This window comes from Homo sapiens, chromosome 5 (assembly GCF_000001405.40).
Source record: "Homo sapiens chromosome 5, GRCh38.p14 Primary Assembly".
In the NCBI taxonomy this organism is placed as follows: domain Eukaryota; kingdom Metazoa; phylum Chordata; class Mammalia; order Primates; family Hominidae; genus Homo; species Homo sapiens.
In genome coordinates this window covers 134,032,439-134,050,416 of record NC_000005.10, presented here as the reverse complement: position 1 = coordinate 134,050,416, position 17,978 = coordinate 134,032,439, and the positions used below count along the sequence as shown (strand labels likewise).

Here is a 17,978-nt window from a genome sequence, read left to right as displayed (position 1 = left end):
TGTGCTGAAGAACTAACGCATTGAATAATTTAAAAGCAAACTGTACAACCACTAGAAAATAGAATTATTAACTTCTGTAGAAGGGTAAAGTACTTCAAATCAGGAAACAGTGAATAATATTGAACAAGAGAAGGTGGCACATTTATTTATTTATTTATTTATTTTCTTTTAGACGGAGTCTTGCTCTTTTGCCAGGCTAGAGTGCAATGGCGTGATCTCGGCTCACTGCAACCTCCACCTCCCAGGTTCAAGCAATTCTCCTGCCTCAGCCTCCCGAGTTGCTGGGACTACAGGCGCCTACCATCACGCCTGGCTAATTTTTGTATTTTTAGTAGAAACGGAGTTTCACCATGTTGGCCAGGATGGTCTCAATCACTTGACCTCATGATCCGCCGTCCTCAGCCTCCCAAAGTGCTGGGGTTACAGGCGTGAGCCACCGCGCCTGGGCGGTGGTGGATTTAGTACATCTAAATTTCCATATGTAAAAGCTAAACTAAACAAAGTTGAGTGGAAAAACACACCTCAAAAGCTTTAGGCCAGGAACAGGGTGGCTCACACCTGTAATCCCAGCACCGTGGGAGGCCAAGTGGGGCCAATCACTTGAAGTCAGGAGTTTGAGACAAGCCTGGCCAACATGGCTAAACCCCCATCTCTACTAAAAATACAAAAATTATCCAGATGTGGTGGTGGGCGCCTGTATTCCCAGCTACTTGGGAGGCTGAGACAGGAGAATTGCGTGAACCTGAGAGATGGAGGTTGCAGTGAGCTGAGATCACACTACGCTCCCTCCTGGGCAACAGAGTGAGACTCTGTATTAAAAAACAAAACAAACAAAAAAATAAACTTTAGAAATGTTTGTACCAATTGAACTAGTAATTCACTTTCTGGGGAATTTTTGCTAATGAGTAACCCTTAAATATGGAGTTGGGTTATGCATCAAGTTGTTTATTGCAGAATTATTTATGGCAATAAAAAATAAAACCAGAAAGTAATCTAAATTTGCAGTGATTGAGGAATAGCAAGGGGTGGGCATGGTGGCTCACACCTGTCATTCCAGCACTTTAGGAAGCGGAGGTAGGACGATTGCTTGAGGCCAGGAGTTGGAGACCATCCTGGGCAACATAGACAGACCTTATCTCTATTTATTTAAATAAGTTAAAAATTAAATTAAAGGATAGTATGAAATCATTTTAAATGCTGTTTCTGAAAATATTCACAGGGAGTCAGTGATACATACTATTAGGAAAACAGTCTTGACATCAGCTAGACCTGGGTTAGAAACCCAGTGCTACCCATGTGCTTTGGGACTTAATCTCTCTCTAAGCCTAAGTTTACACATCTGTAAAATGAGGATAACAGTAGTGGCTACCTCATAGGATTACTGCATCATGTGAGATAATGCATATAAACTACTTAGCACAGAGTAAGCCCTGTCACATATCATGATTATTATTACTTTTGTGTAACATAGAAACATTATCCATGTTGGTTCATTCATTCATTCACTCAGCAAATATTTACTGAGGTACCATTTGTGCCAAGTACTGCTCTACATACTGGAGCTGCAGTAGTAAATAAATTAATGCCAAATGAAAACACAGAAGGTATGCATGCAGTGTGAGCACAGATATGTTTAAAAAAAAAATGCCCGGCGGGGGATAAGGACTAGAGGAAAGATGTCCAGCGGGGGATAAGAGCTAGGAGGACATAGATCAAGATACTATATGATCTGGATTGTCTTTGAATAATGAGGGCATTGGGTGGTGTTTCATTATGGCCCAGTTTTCTTTAATAAGTATTTCTCTTATGAGTAGTAATGAAGTTTCTATACATTTAAAAAGTCAGGCCAAGCACGGTGGCTCATGCTTGTAATCCCAGCACTTTGGGAGGCTGAGGCGGGTGGATTACTTGAGCCCAGGAGTAGGAGTTCGAGACCAGCCTGGGCAACATGGCGAAACCCTATCTCTACTAAAAATACAAAAGTTAGCCAGGCGTGCTAATGCACACCTGTAGTCCCAGGTACTCGGGAGGCTGAGGCAGGAGAATCACTTGAAACTGGGAGGCAGAGGCTGCAGTGAGCCAAGATTGCACCACTGCCCTCCAGCCTGGGCGACAGAGCGAGACTGTCTCAAAAGAGAGAAAAAAAAAAGGCCTGGTGCGGTGGCTCATGCCTGTAATCCCAGCACTTTGGGAGGCCGAGGCAGGCAGATCACGAGGTCAGGAGATCAAGACCATCCTGGCTAACAGGGTGAAACCCCGTCTCTACTAAAAAATAGAAAAAGTTAGCAGGGCATGGTGGTGGGCACCTGTAGTCCCAGCTACTTGGGAGGCTGAGGCAGGAGAATGGTGTGAACCCGGGAGGCGGAGCTTGCAGAACTAGCTTTTTTCTTTTTTTTTCCCAGACAAGGTTCACTCTGTTGCCCAGGCTGGAGTGTAGTGGTGCAGAACCCGGGAGGCGGAGCTTGTCAAAAAAAAAAAAAAGAGAAAAATGATGGCGCTTGTTGACTAGCCTCTTATGATGCAATGTCATGCCGTCATGTTCATGTGGATGTCGTGAAAAGCAGGGCACTGTGGTGAACTGTGCCTCTGGGACCTGCCCCGCGACATCCCCTTCACTGTGCCAGCCTCACTTGCCCTGTGGTGACAGCACTGGGCCATGTGCAGATTTGTTTTGCCCATCTCTACATTGCACAAACAGGTACACTGAATCAAAAAGGAAAACAGAAAAAACAGAACAAGAAACACCCCAATGGGTTGCAGCTTATGGATGGTGCCTGCAGCATTGTGAGCTGATAAAATACTGCTTAGCATATGGCAGTGGGGAGGCAGCACCAAGAGGGGCCCAGGAGGCCCTGCAGCCTCTGCTGCCAGTTTCCTTCTGTGCGGGATGAATGGAGTCCCTGGGGTCTGGAGTTGGACACAAGAGCATTTGTCCTCTCTCCCATAGGAATGGTCCTTTTCTGAGGCCCCACTCACGGCTTGGGCTCTGGAAGCCTTTCCAGTCCTTCGGGAACCATCCCCACCTCCTGTGTGGAGATGCCTGGGCAGCACCTCTGAAGTGGCCCCCTCTCTGTGGCCTCTCTGTGGGTGCCCCTTCCCTCAATGTACCACCTACCTGAGTCTCTGCAATCACTTGACACCCAACCTTTTATTAACCAGGGTTCCTGCCCTCCCCCAGCAGGCGGCTTTTCATGCAAAAAGCATCCCTTTGTTCCCTTTCTATGACCCACTTAGGTATCAAAGGCTTCATTCACTGGGGAGTTTCCAGGAAAGTGACCCCCCTGGCTCTGGTCTACTGCTTTGGGAGGGGCAGGAGAAAGGTCAAGGGCATTATCTCAGTTACCAGCCCTGATAGTCCGAGTATAGTTCCTTCCCTCTCCCTGCCCTCACTTCTCCCACTTCTACCTGAATTAGGGTGTGTCTCTGGGCAGGGTGGCAAAAACATTGCCAAAGCTCTAACAGTGCAGCCACAAAACAGGCTCCTTGTATCCTCAAAACAGGCCACATAATGGCTCCTTATCATTGTCTCCACTTTACAGATGAGAAGATCGAGGCCTGGAGGCACTAAGCCACATGGCCAAGGTCACCCCACTGGTAGGTGTAGAGTGGAGATGAAGCTCAAACCAGGTGCTATTGACCACTCTGTGTACAACATTTTTTAGGAGACAAGCTTAAATGTGTGTTGTGGGGTAGTCCTTTTCCTTTCCCCTGAGGTGCTGCCCAAAACAACCCAGAACTGGGGGACCCACCGCCTGAGTTCTGGCCCTTGGTCAAGCCCATTAAACCTTGGGCATTTTCCTCCATTTCTGGTGTGGTAGGCAGAACACTGTCCACCTGCCCCAAGATGTCCACATCCTAATGCCTAGACCTGTGAATATGTTGTTACCTTATATGGCAAAACGGACTTTGCAGATGTTTGCAGATGTGAATACATTAAGAATCTTAGGGCCAGGCATGGTGGCTCATGCCTGTAAACCCAGCACTTTGGGAGGCTGAGGCAGGCAGATCACTCGAGCCCAGGAGTTCAAGACCAGCCTGGGCAACATAAGGAGACCCCGTCTCTATTTTTTTAAAAAATTAAAATGAAAAGGCTGGGCATGGTGGCTCATGTTTGTAATCCCAGCACTATGGGAGGCCAAGGTGGGTGGATCACGAGGTCAGGAGAGCGAGACAATCCTGGCTAACACGATGAAACCCCGTCTCTACTAAAAAATAGAAAAAAAATGAGCTGGGCGTGGTGGCAGGTGCCTGTAGTCCCAGCTGCTTGGGAGACTGAGGCAGGAGAATGGCGTGAACCCGGGAGGCGGAGCTTGCAGTGAGCCGAGATTGCGCCACTGCACTCCAGCTTGGGTGACAGAGTGAGACTCCATCTCAAAAATAAATAAATAAATAAATAGAATAAATAAAAATGGAAAAAAAAAAAAAGAAGAATTGCCGGGGTCAGTGGCTCATGCCTGTAATCCCAGCACTTTGGGAGGCTGAGGTGGGCAGATCACCTGAGGTCGGGAGTTCGAGACCAGCCTGACCAACACGGAGAAACCCTGCCTCTACTAAAAATATGAAAATTAGCCAGGCGTGGTGGTGTGCCTCTGTAATCCCAGCTACTCGGGAGGCTGAGGCAGGAGAATCACTTGAACCTGGGAAGCAGAGGAGGCAGAGGTTGCAGTGAGCCAGGATCGCACCATTGCACTTCAGCCTGGGCAACAAGAGTGAAACCCCATCTCAAAAAAAAAAAAGAAAAATCTTGGGATGGGGATACCATCCTGGATTATTCAGGCAGACCCAATGTCACCCCAAGGGCCCTTCAAAGAGGGAGGCAGAAGAGTCCATATTAGAAGAGATGAGACAATGGAAACAGAGGCCAGAGACAGATTTGGAGATGCTGCTGGCTTTGAAGATGAGGATGATGTCCTAAGCCAAGGAACGTAGGTAGCTCCTGGAAGCTAGAAAAGGCAAGGAAATGATTCTTCCCTAAAGCCTCCAGAATGAAGGCAGCTCTGCAGGCACCTTGGTTTTAGGACTTCTGACCTCCTGAACTGTAATAGAAGACATTTTGCTGTTTTAAGCCACTAAGTTTGTGGCACTTTTTCCAGCAGCAGTAGGAAGCTGATACACTGGACTTCAGCTGTCCTCTCTGTAGATAACTGGCGTGGCTGGCCAGATGGGCCACACACACTATGCTTTCTTGACTGAAGCTGATGAGTCCAGGCCAGCAGGGCCTAAAATTTTTCTGATTTTGTGGACTTTCTTTGGGAATCTAGTTCTCTGGCTGTTCTTCCTCCCCCATGGAAGGAGCTTTGTCCACTGTGGCTTTGGAGGGTTTTGACCCGTGATGTGATTGGGAAGCACAAGGAATGGAACTTCACAGGGCCGACCTTGTTGGGAGTTTCTGGGCCCCTGCTCTGGGCATTGTCTTGGAACCAGCTACCCAAAAGGCCAAAACTGCCCTCTGGCTCCCGGGCCTAATTACAGCCCCTGCCTAGGCCTCCCTTCCCCAGGATGGCCAGAGTTGAGGGGGTTTCACATGGTGATGAGCTCCTTGAAGACTCTGAGCTCTAGGCAGCCAGTCTCTTCTGTGCCCCTAGCTCTGGCGCAGTACCTCACATGGGGTAGGAGCTCAAGAAATATTTGCTGAATGAATAAATAATTCAGTAGCACACATACACAGACAACACACAGCTTGGGACATCACACGGTCTTTTCTATACCTAGATGCATACCCAGATAAGCACTTACATACCTGTGCGCGCGCGCACACACACACACAGATAGCAATATGCACACACACACACAGTTATGTGCACACACACGTGCACCAATGGGTATGTGCACACAGACACATACAGATATGCAAATGTGCCATGGAGCCCTATTCTGAAGGAAGAGAGGACACTTCTGTCCACTGAGGGAACTGAAATGCCAGCTAGCTTAGCAGGGCCTTGGAAGTTTTTATTAATCCATAAAAATCCCTTAGCTGTCTGGGGAGCCTCCCAGCAGCTGAGGAGGTTCCCCGACAGGAAGGATGGGGCGGATCTCCCATTGATGGGGAGGGGACCCAGGTGTTGGCTGCTGTTGGAGGGGCCGTTGTGCAGACACCTGCATATGATGGGAGCTGGAGCTAGGGCGGAAAGAGCTGGGAGCACAGATGTCTGAGTTGGCCCCCAGCAAGGGAAGATGGGCCTCTGAAGTTCAGGCTGCCAATCATAACCTACCTTGGATCTTGGAGGAGGCCCAGCTTTTGGACAGCTATACGGAAATGAGGGGGTGTAAACTCAACATTCCATTGGTGAAGGGATGGGGATGGGAGGCAGGGTACTGAGCAAAAACATCGCCTGCTCTGGAGTTGGAAAGGCTTGGTTTGAGTCGCAGTCTGTGCTCATCAGCTGGGTTACCTTGGGCTGGTTGATCAACGTCTCTTTGCGTCAGCTTCAGCATCTCTGAAATGGGCGACTGAGGGCACCTACCTGTCAGGGCTGGAGTGAGGATTAGGTGAGAGAATGGAAGTCAAGTGCTCCATTTATCACCAAAGAACTAAAAAAATGGGAGCTTAAGAAAAATGCAGGCACTGGATAAAAGTCTACCTAGGCTGGGCGCGGTGGCTCACACCTGTAGTCCCAGCACTTTGAGAGGCCAAGATGGGTGGATCGCTTGAGCCCAGGAGTTCAAGATGAGCTTGGGCAACATAATGAGACCCCATCTCTACAAAACATACAAAAATTAGCTGGCCATGGTGGTGCACAACTGTAAGTACCAGCTACTCAGGAGGCTGAGGTGGGAGGATAACTTGAGCCTGGAGGTTGAGGCTGCAGTGAGCCGTGATTGCACCACTACACTCCAGCCTGGGCAACAGAGTGAACCTTGTCTGGGAAAAAAAAAGAAAAAAGAAAAAAGAAAAGTCTACCCAGCCCATCCTAGGGCAGAATAACCAGAGAGGAGGAGGTGAGAGTCCTTTCCAGCCACCTCTTAGGTAGTCCCGCAGTCTAGAATTTCGCTCTGGTTGGGCTAATTCCTGGGAGGGGTGTGGCCCAGCGCTGCCCTTGTCCTAGCCCTGCCTCTGTGTGACCTGGAGTACGTTGCTTTGCTTCTCTGAACCTCAGCAGCTCCTTTTCTATATATCCTGGATAGTTGTGAAGCTCACATGAGACTGGGCATTTGAAACTATTCGGAGAGGTGAGAAATCCTCACTCAGAGGAGAGCATCTCTGGTCACCCTTGGACAGTCAAAATTGATTATATCACTTTGCCAGGCCGACAGGCCCACCATTCACCCTGAAGCCTTGATCACTCTTCTCCTGCCACCCCTGCCCCAGGATCATAGTGTTCACTGAGGCTCTTGGCAGGATCCAGTGACATCAGTTGGACCTCCCTGGATCTGCCCCTGCTGCTCCCATTCTTTCATCCAAGCTCAGGAAAAGAAAGGCCCAGGCAGGGTTTCCACCAGCCTGTCTCCCACGACCCACATACTCAGTGCCAATGGGGAACCCCAGAAGTCTAGAGCACTCTGGTTTCTGTCCCACTATGTGCTTTCCTCTGGAGGTGGGGGACCTGGGGGAGCCCAGTTTCATTAAGAAGCAGAAGTTCAACAGGCAGGTAAGATGGTGCCTGGCCGAACTCCCATTAAAAGACCCAAAGCCAGGCATGGTGGCTCACGCCTGTAATCCCCAGCACTTTGGGAGGCTGAAGCAGGCGGGTCACTTGAGGCCAGGAGTTCAAGTTGGCCAAAATGGTGAAACCCCATCTCTACGAAAATAGAAAAAGTAGCCAGGCACAGTAGTGCATGCCTGTAGTTCCAGCTACTCTGGAGGCCGAGGCAGGAGAATCGCTTGAACCTGGGAGGCGGAGGTTGCAGTGAGCTGAGATTGCACCACTGCACTCTGGAGAGGCTAAGAGACAGAGCAAGACTCTGTCTAAGAAAAAAAAAAGAAAAACAAAACCAAAAAATGCCCAGTACTGAATGGGCCTTTGTGGTCTCACCTACTGGCTAGAAGTTACCACGGGGCAGGTCACCTAGCCTGGGCACCCAGCATGGGCCTGTGGGCAAGGGATGGCAAGACAGGATGGGTGGGGGCCGTGAGGTCCAGGGTGTCCCCACACTCCTCCATGGTGAGGAAGGAGGTCCAGACCAGTGACTGGAAAGCTTGTCGCTATCAGGGCCTGGTCCCCCCCAAGCCCACAGTGCCCAGGATGAGTGAGCGTGGCCATGACCCTGAGCCCACCATGGCAGCTGTTGACCCCAGGCCATCAGTGCCTGGTCAGTAGACAGCCCTGCTTCCGACCTTCCCACGCTGCCCCTTGACTCATTCTGAGAGCATTGCCACAAGGGGTTCTGGCCTCCAAGTTCACCTTTGGTTTGGTTTCTGCTCGGGCAGCTCAGAGCAGTTTTGTTTTCAAGTGCAAACCCACAGAGCTGCTTTCCCCTTTCTCTGATCCCCCAAAACAAACAAAGGATGTTGGTCTGCATTTTGATTTGTTTTGAAGCTGCAGAGGAGAGTGAGGGAAATGGGTCACCTCAGGAGCTTCGAGGGTGGCCAGGCCAGCCAGGGAGTGTGGGGTGGTGGCCAGGATGGCGCCTTACTCTGGAGGACTGACTGGCCAGCCCACCCTGGGTGGGCCCTGCTCCCAGGGAGCCACTCACCAACAGGGATGCCTGGAGCTGGGGGCTCCTCATGGGGCCATGCAAAGCGCCCTGTGTGGAAGGCAGGAGGCCCAAGTCCCAGGCATGGCTCCAAGGCCCCTTGCTGTGTGATGTTAGGCAAGGCCTGCGTTTCTCTGAGTTTGAGTCTGGTGAAATGAGGCCCACCAGCTCGGTCCCACCATCTTTCCCATCCCCACTGGAGTGGGGAGGGGGCATTACAGAGTCCCATGCCACTCACAGCGCTGATGTCCAGGGCTCCCTGAGCAGCTGGTCCTGGGACCATTGGATAAGCACCTTATATTCTGCTAGGACGTTGGCCATCAGGGCTGGCCTTCTCTAGCCCCAGACCCATTCCTTCGCCTTCCCACTGGTCAGCAGAGGCCCCTACACTGCTTGGTTTACATGATCCATGGATGTGCCCCTCCTGGGCCTGTGGCCCCTCCCAGAGTGGGTGTAGGTACCTGAAGCAGTAAAGATTAGGTCAAGGAATTTTCAGCAGCAACCTCTTTTCTGACATCCCCCAAAGAAAGAAGTCCCCTGAGCAAGGTGAGCTCTGTCATTCCCAGAGCCTGCAGGTGACCAAAGATGTTCGGAAGGAGCCTGCGGGTCAGCCAAGTCTTTGAAGCATCAAGAGAAGGAGCTGGTAATGTTTTCCCTTGAGTAGGATCAGTAGCAGGGGTTTGAGCAAAGTGAGTGCATTTATTCCAGAACAACTGAACTGGATCCCAAGGACAATATTTTAAATTTCTTCATTAAAGTCCATCTGTTCCGACAGTTCTTCATCTTTTGCATTATTAATCCTTTTAGTGAAAGCTACAGATTCTCTTCTTGGGGGAAAAACACACACACAAAATTTTGAACCACATTTAAAAAGGTTTGCAGCCCTCCATGTGTAATTCCTGGGAAGTTAAAGTAATTCAGGGAGAACTGACTTCCTAGAGTGACCCCTTTCCCAACTGGGGAGGAGACACTATTGGATAGCCTGGGTTGTTCTTCAAAGGATGTTTTGGAGAGACACAGAATCAACTGCTCTTTTTATTTTTTAATTTTATATTTGAGACAGAATCTCGCTCTGTCGCCCAGGCTGGAGTGCAGCAGTACGATATTGGCTCACCGCAACCTCCACCTCCTTGATTCAAGCGATTCTCCTGCCTCAGCCTGCCTCCACAGGCACGTGGCACCATGCCCAGCTAATTTTTTTTTTTTTTGAGACGGAGTCTCACTCTGTCACCCAGGCTGGAGTGCAATGGCGTGGTCTCGGCTCACTGCAACCTCTGCCTCCCGGGTTCAAGCGATTCTCCCACCTCAGCCTCCCGAGTAGCTGGGACTACAGGCACGTGCCACCACACCCAGTTAATTTTTGTATTTTTAGTAGAGATGGGATTTCACTATGTTGGCCAGGCTGGTTTCGAACTCCTGACCTCGTGATCCGCCCACCTCGGCTTCCCAAAGTGCTGGGATTACAGGCATGAGCCACTGCTCCTGGCCTATGCCCAGCTAATTTTTATATTTTTAGTGGAGACCGGGTTTCGCCATGTTGGCCAGGCTGGTCTCCAGCTCTCGACCTCAAGTGATCCACCCGTCTTGGCCTCCCAAAGTGTTGGGGTTAGAGGTGTGAGCCACCGTGCCAGCCAATTGCTCCTTTTAGAATGGGAGTGCTAACCTCAGGGGTCTCTCTCTCGGGTGCCAAAAGAGGAGATGCCTTTTGTGTGGACCCATGGAACTGAAGCCTCCGTCCTTGTCCCTGGAAGGGCCCAATTTTGGGGTTCCAGGAGCTCCTGCGCCTAAGGGGGTGCTGTCACCCTGTGGTTTTTCTTAGTTGACAGCTCATAGGTGCTTGGGAATGTGCTGTGTCTGCGTTCCAGACTGCAGGAGCAGTCTGGAAACTTGGCTGTGGGCAGACATGCCACCCTCCTAAGGTGAAAGAAACCTGAGTGGCCAGAGCCTAGTGTTTGCTCCCCTAATTTGAGAACAGGGAACTGTGCCTCCTCCTGGAGACTGCAGGGTTTGGGAGCCGGGAGATGGCCCATCTCGCTTCTTTGGTCAGCTTCTGGCGCCACCTCGTGGCTAATTCTCTAATAGCAGCCAGGTCTCATTCTGGCACAGAGGGTTCTCAGTAGAACCACCAGAGGGAGCTTTAAAATTACGCACGTCTGCCGGGCGCGGTGGCTCACGCCTGTAATCCCAGCACTTTGGGAGGCCAAGGCGGGCGGATCACGAGGTCAGCAGATCGAGACCATCCTGGCTAACACGGTGAAACCCCCGTCTCTACTAAAAATACAAAAAATTAGCCGGGCGTGGTGGCAGGAGCCTGTAGTCCCAGCTACTCAGAAGGCTGAGGCGGGAGAATGGCCAGAACCCAGGAGGCAGAGCTTACAGTGAGCCGAGATTGCGCCACTGCACTCCAGCCTGGGCGACAGAGGGAGACTCCGTCTCAAAAAAAATAAAAAAAATAAAAAACCACGCATGTCGGGGGCCATTCCAGACCAGTGAAACAATCATCTGTTTCGTTGGGGCCTAGCATCAGTATTTATTAGGGCTCTCCAGATGACATCAATGTGAAGCCAGGGTTGCGAATCACTGTAACAGCAATAGGTTGGTTCCTTGGTCTTGGCCCACAGGCAAGGGAGGACGATTGAGGTGGGGAGGAGAAATTACAAGGGCTTTCTGGAGAATTGGTTTCACTTTGCTTGCATGGACCTACTTGGTGCTCTGGAAAGCATGGAGGTCAGCGAGTAATGAATGCCACAATACAGAATGTTGTAAATAAGGCGCCTATTGCAAATAAAGTGTCTATTACTGGGCCTTTACATTAGCATCTGTGGGCATTTCCATGGGCCCTCTATGGGCCCATTTTGTGTCTATCTCAATGATAGACACAAAATGGGTTCATTTTGTGTCTATCTCAATGATAACATTTAAAAGTCAACATATAAACACACCTTGGCTTACCTGGAAGGCTGTTAACTGACTTTCTCTCCTGGTTTTGGTGTCCAAAATAACTTTGGAATTTACTATCCTATTGCTGCAAAGCAGAACTACTTTAATTGTCACGGGGTAATTAGCAAAGGGTAAAAGGATTCACTTGGTGAGGAATGTATTTGAGCCAGGCAAAGACAAAAGACTTGGCAGAATTGAGTTATCTTTTCAAAATATTTTCATGTTCACAAAACAATGCTGTAGCTGTTTTGAACTCACAAGTACCTGCCCCATGCTGTCCCATACATATTACACTGAATGATATTTGTGGGGGGTGGGATTGAGGGAGGGGGTCGTGGATAGGAAATAAAGTCCCAACTCCTGGCCAGAGCCGGCAAAACCCTGTATGCTCTGCCTCTGCCTTCCTTTCAATCCCCGCTCTTACCCTCCATGCTTACTGGCTTCCCTCCAGCCACACTGGGCTTTTTGCTGCCTCTCAAACATGCCACCTTGTTCTCATCCCAGGGGCCTCTGAACCTGCTGTTTGCTTTGCCTGGGGCACTCTTTCCCCAGATATTTATGTGGTTTGCTTTCTGAGTTCTTTCAGGCCTTAGCTGTAATGTCAGAGGCCTTTCCTAATCACCCTCATTAAATTAGGACCCCTGCCTAATTCTTCTCCCCATTTTGTATTCTCCATTGTACTTTTCACTGCTTGAATTGTATTGTTTATGTGCTTGTTTCCTTGTTTATTGCTTGGGAACCCACATGTGTTGTAACTCCTTGAGGGTAGAGGCCATATCTAGCATTTACCATAATTTCCCCAGTCTTTGGCACATTGACATTATTTAATAAGCATTCTTTTACAAATTCTTGTATTTTGGAATAATTTTAGTTGCAATGATATTACAGAGTTATGGTATATTTTCACTCTGATTGCCTTAATGTCAATATCATATATAACTGTAGTACAATGATCTATAAAAGGAGTTAACATTGATACAATACGATTCACTAATCTACAGGTTTTTTGTTGTTTTTGGGGGCTTTTTTTGCAGTGAGAGAAAGAGGCATTTATTGCAGGACATCATCAGGCAAGGAGGATGGGGAGCTCACGCTTAAGACCCAACCTCCCTGATGGCTTACAAGCAAGGGTTTTTAAAGGCAGGGGTACATTTCAGGAAAGGAGAAGTCACAGGCCAATGTGTAAACAAACATATGGAAGCTATACATTGGTTTAGCCCAAAAAGGTGGGATATCTTGAAGCAGGGGCTTACAGGTCATAGGTAGATTCAGAGATTCTTTGATTTGCAGTTGGTTGAGGAAGGAAGACTTTGTCTAAAAAACTTGGGGTCAGCAGAAAAGAATGTTAAGATTTGGCCTTAATATAGGCTAGTTAAGATCAGGAAACCCATTAATCATCAGGGGTGCTATGCCAGTCAGGTCACCAGAGCAAGCCCTAATGCACTAGGTCAGAGTGACCAGTTTAGCAAATTGATGGCCTGCAGGTGTCACTTTCTCCAAGCACCTCGGGAAGAAATTTAGAACACAGGGCAGTGATCAGAGTTCAGTCCTCAGTTCCCTCTTATCTGAGGTCCACATGACAGCAATGGGCATTTTCCATCTGGTGGGCATCCAGGTTTCTGAAAAACAAATCTATTAGGATTGTTGCTTTATTGGGCCTCGTTTCTTCCATCTGACTTTCACTTCTTGTCCTGCAGTGTCCACCCTGGTCTCTGGATGGTTGCCTGTTTGTGCTGTGGTTGTTCCTCTGTTCTCCTGCACTTGGTTACTCGTTAAAGGGCACCTTCTGCATCCTCATCAGCCTGAGGAACTGCTAATAATGTCATATTAACTGTTTGTGCATTTGCTTCAGTTTTTTTGTTTGTTTGTTGTTTTTTTGTTTTTTTTTTTGAGACGGAGTCTCACTCTGTTGCCCAGGCTAGAGTGCAGTGGCGTGATCTAGGCTCATTACAAGCTCCACCTCCTGGGTTCACACCATTCTCCTGCCTCAGCCTCCCAAGTAGCTGGGACTACAGGTGCTCGCCATCATGCCTGGCTAATTCTTTGTATTTTTAGTAGAGATGAGGTTTCACTGTGTTAGCCAGGATGGTCTCGATCTCCTGACCTCGTGATCCGCCTGCCTCAGCCTCCCAAAGTGCTGGGACTACAGGCGTGAGCCACCACACCCGGCCTTTTTTTTTTTTAAAAAAGACAGTGTCTTGCTCTGTCACCCAGGCTGGAGTGCAGTGGTGTGATTATAGCTCACTGCAACCTTATACTCCTGGGCTCAAGGGATCCCTACAGATCTTACTAGAAGTGCACTTGACCTACTAATGTCCTTTTTTCTGGTTGGTGTTTTAGTCCAAGGATCCGACATTATGTTTAGTTGTCATGTCTCTTTAGTGTCTTCCAATCTGGGACAGTTCCCCAGTCTTTCATGACCTTGACACTTATGAAGAGTGTTGGCCAGTTATATTTTGAATGTCCCTCAATTTGTGTTTGATTTTTTTCAGGATTAGACTGAAGTTATGCATTTTAGCAGAAATACCACAGCAGTGACGTGCTATTCTCAGAGGACGGTATCAGGAAGCACATGATGTTTATGTGCCTCCTTTCAGGTGTTATTAACTTTGATCACTTGGTTAAGGTGGTACCTGCCTGGTCTCTCCACTGTGAAGCTACTATTTTTTCTGTTTGTAATCAATTAAATATCTTGTGAGGAAATAGATGGAGATGATCCAAATATTATATTTCTTGTCATATTTTGGCTTACTAATTTCAGCATCCATTGATGATTCCTGCCTGCAACAATTCCTGTACTGTTTGGCAAATGGGAATTTTTTTTTTTTTTTTTTTTTGAGATGGAGTCTCACTCTGTTGTCCGGGTTGGAGTGCAGTGGTGCGATCTCGGCTCATTGCAACCTCTGCCGCCAGGGTCCAAGCGATTCTCCTGCCTCAGCCTCCCTAGTAGCTCGGATTTCAGGCACCTGCCACTGCGCCCGGCTAATTTTTGTAGTTTTTAGTAGAGACGGGGTTTCACCATCTTGGCCAGGCTGGTCTTGAACTCCTGACCTCATGACCCACCTGCTTCAGCCTCCCAAAGTGCTGGGATTACAGGCGTGAGCCACAAGGCCGGGCCTGGCAAATGATGATTTTCTATTTGCATTATTCCTTCTGCATTTATTAGTTGGAATTTGAAAGGAAGAGCTGTCCCTTCTCCATTTATCTAATTGATTTTTATTTCCATCAGTATGGACTTATGGACATTTATTCAGTGGGTTATCATCCTTTATTATTTATTTTGTTGCTCAAATGTTCGCTGGTGTGTTGGCTTAAGCCTGTAATCGCAGCACTTTGGGAGACCAAGGTGGGCAGATTGCTTGAGCTCAGGAGTTCAAGACCAGTCTGGGCAAAATGATGAGACCTCTTTTCTACAAAACGTATATTTTAAAAAATTAGCAGGGTTTTGTTGTGCACACGTGTAGTCCCAGCTACTTGCGAGGCTGAAGTGGGAGGATCACTTGAGCTGGTGAGGTTGAGGCTGCAGTAAGAGATGATGGCACCACTGCACTCCAGCCTGGGTAACAGAGAGAACTTGTCTCAAAAACAAAACACAACAAAAATTGTCCCAGATTTGGCTTATTACTTTGTTTAGCACATCCTTAATTCCCAGGACCGCAAGATGTGCCAGGTTCATCTTGTACTTCTCCTGCCTCAGCCCAGCGACCAGCCATTTCTCCAAGAGCCTGGTCCTTGCTATTGCAGCACAGTGCTTGGAAACCGAGATCTGGGCATTAGATGTCCTCATTGTTGGGAGTGTCGTTGCTCCTAGGCCCTCTCGGTGGACAGAGCTAGGAAGTGTATGTTCAGACAGACATATACATGCACATCTATATCCATTTCTACATGTCCCCCCTCTCTCCATCTACCATAAAAACCATGAATTTTTCTCCCTACGATCAGTTGTCAGAGGAAAACATCATGAATGTATACCGATACCTGAGATTCCAATTCAACACCACAGGGTTCATTTTAACCTTGCTCCTTTCCTTACTCGCAGCTCCTTTCCTTACTCGCAGCTCCTTTCCTCCATAGTGGAAACCTGGCTCTCACTGTCCGCCATGTTTATTCACCAGCTCGGTCCCAGCATGCACCTTGCATTAGTGTCCCAGGGCCGCACAAGTTACCACAAGCTGGGTGGCGTCAAACACAAAATTTTATTTTCTCACAACCCTCGAGACTAGCAGTACAAAATCAAAGTGCCCGAAAAGGCGTGTTTGTTTCCTGCTGCGGGCTCTGGGAGAAAACCCTATCCCGGCCTCTTCCTAGCGTCCGGCGCGTGGCATTCTGGGCTTCCCGGGCTAGTGGACGCGTCGCTTGGATCTCTGCCTCCACCTTGGCAGGGCCTGTGTCACGCATCTCCTTTCTCTCCAGAGAACACTGGTCACTGGAGCTAGGGGCCCACCCTCGTTTCAAGATCCTTTACTTAATGATAGTATCTGTGAAAATCCTGTCTCCAAAGAAGGTCACATTCACAGGCTCTAGGGGTGAGGACTTAGGCTTGTCTTTTGGGGGACACAATCTGCTCCACACAGAAAGTAGCTTCAAATTGCTAGCCGATATTCTTCTGAAAAACAAATATACTAACATATATGTGTAGAGTTCTTTTTATTTTTTTTTTTTGCGCGTGACACAGCCCTCAGGAGATCCTGAGAACATGTGCCTTGATCTTTTTGTCTTTAGTCTTACCAATGCATAATCAAATAATGCTTCCCAAAGTTACATAGATTAGCTTTTTTCTTCCCCACCTTTTTCACGTGGCTGGTTCTATTATTTATTTCTAATATATTTCGGTTCTTTTCTTTTTTTTTTGAGACGGAGTCTCGCTCTGTTGCCCAGGCTGGAGTGCGGTGGTGCGATCTCGGCTCACTGCAAGCTCCGCCTCCCGGGTTCATGCCGTTCTCCTGCCTCAGCCTCCCAAGTAGCTGGGACTACAGGCGCCTGCCACCACTCCCGGCTAATTTTTTGTATTTTTAGTAGAGACGGGGTTTCACCGTGTTAGCCAGGATGGTCTCGATCTGCTGACCTCGTGATCCGCCCGCCTTGGCCTCCCAAAGTGGTGGGATTACAGGCGTGAGCCATCGCACCCGGCCTATATTTCGACTCTTTTTTTACTTTTTTTTTTTTTTCCATTTTGGGCTCACCCACTTCCTGATTGATTTTAATTAATTAATTAATTAGTATTATTGGTACGTGAAATACTGCCATAGTTTTAAGACCCGGAAATACAAAAGTGGAGCTCCCCCAGCATGACTTCTATCCATTCACATTTCCTCATTCTTGCTATTCTATAAGCACCTGCCTGCCGCTCTAGGCCAAGAAACCTTATTTATATTTAGCTTCTCCGTGGCCGGGTGCGGTGGCTCATGCCTGTAATCCCAGCACTTTGGGAGGCCGAGGCGGGCGGATCACGAGGTTAGGAGATCGAGACCATCCTGGCCAACGTGGTGAAACCCCGTCTCTATTAAAAATATAAAAATTAGCCGGGCATGCTGGTGGGCGCCTGTAGCCCCAGCTACTTGGGAGGCTGAGGCAAGAGAACCGCTTGAACCCGGGAGGTGGAGATTGCAGTGAGCCGACATCACGCCATTGCACTCCAGCCTGGGTGACAGAGCCAGACGCCGTCTCAAAAAAAAAAAAAAAAAAAAATTAGTTTCTACTTCCTAGATTTCCTTGAGCATATACATGTATATTTTCTTTCTCTTTTTCCCTCTCCTCTCTCTCGTTTCCTCTCCTCTCCTCTCCTCTCCTCCCTTCCCGTCCCCTCCCCTCTCCTTTTTTGAGATGGGGCTCTCACTCTGCCCCCAGGCTGGAGTGCAGAGGTACAATCATAGCCTTGACTTTCTGGGCTCAAGCAATCTTCCTGTCCCAGCCTCCTGAGTAGCTGGAACTACAGGCATGTACCACTGCACCTGGCATTATTTTGTTTTATTTTGTAGAGAAAGAGTCTCACTCTGTTGCCCAGGCTGGACTTGAGCTCCTGGCCTCAAGTGATCCTCCTACCTCGGCTGCCCAAAGCATTGAGATTACAGGTGTGATCCACTGCTCCTGGCTTTATTTCTTTATATCCTCTTCTTTCTTACATGAAAAGGAGCATACCATACATACTCTTTTGTATTTTTCTCTTTCCAGTTAATATCTCTTGGGAATCAATTTGTATTCGTTTCCTCTTTCTATTTATAGCTGCATACTACTCCATTGTGGGGTCATACCGTGGCTCATTCAACCATTCTTCCATGCATGGACATTTAGATAATTTCCAGTATTCAGCAATTATAAACAATTTTGCACAGAATAATCTTGCACATGTATGCTTTGTAATGTTGGAGGTGTATCTTCAGAGTGAAATCCTAGGAGTGGGTTGG

General features: G+C 48.4%; 1 protein-coding gene across 6 annotated transcripts in view, besides 5 other annotated features; it reads left to right on the top strand.

Annotated features, from left to right (window-relative positions):
- Window positions 1-17,978, top strand: part of VDAC1 (voltage dependent anion channel 1) — a 142,670-nt gene that overhangs the window by 64,124 nt on the left and 60,568 nt on the right. The gene's annotated exons all lie outside the window — the stretch shown is intronic.
- Window positions 330-905: an enhancer, noted in NCBI's record as "H3K4me1 hESC enhancer chr5:133385203-133385778 (GRCh37/hg19 assembly coordinates)". NCBI's record gives its function as "activates a minimal SCP1, AML or CMV promoter by ChIP-STARR-seq in primed H9 embryonic stem cells {active_cell/tissue: H9 hESC(primed)}" and the evidence as "EXISTENCE:reporter gene assay evidence [ECO:0000049][PMID:30033119]".
- Window positions 2,310-2,949: an enhancer, noted in NCBI's record as "OCT4-NANOG-H3K27ac-H3K4me1 hESC enhancer chr5:133383159-133383798 (GRCh37/hg19 assembly coordinates)". NCBI's record gives its function as "activates a minimal SCP1, AML or CMV promoter by ChIP-STARR-seq in primed H9 embryonic stem cells {active_cell/tissue: H9 hESC(primed)}" and the evidence as "EXISTENCE:reporter gene assay evidence [ECO:0000049][PMID:30033119]".
- Window positions 2,950-3,590: an enhancer, noted in NCBI's record as "OCT4-NANOG-H3K27ac-H3K4me1 hESC enhancer chr5:133382518-133383158 (GRCh37/hg19 assembly coordinates)". NCBI's record gives its function as "activates a minimal SCP1, AML or CMV promoter by ChIP-STARR-seq in naive and primed H9 embryonic stem cells {active_cell/tissue: H9 hESC(naive and primed)}" and the evidence as "EXISTENCE:reporter gene assay evidence [ECO:0000049][PMID:30033119]".
- Window positions 7,917-8,046: an enhancer, noted in NCBI's record as "active region_23120". NCBI's record gives its function as "activates an Ori minimal core promoter by ATAC-STARR-seq in GM12878 lymphoblastoid cells {active_cell/tissue: GM12878}" and the evidence as "EXISTENCE:reporter gene assay evidence [ECO:0000049][PMID:35858748]".
- Window positions 8,067-8,186: an enhancer, noted in NCBI's record as "active region_23119". NCBI's record gives its function as "activates an Ori minimal core promoter by ATAC-STARR-seq in GM12878 lymphoblastoid cells {active_cell/tissue: GM12878}" and the evidence as "EXISTENCE:reporter gene assay evidence [ECO:0000049][PMID:35858748]".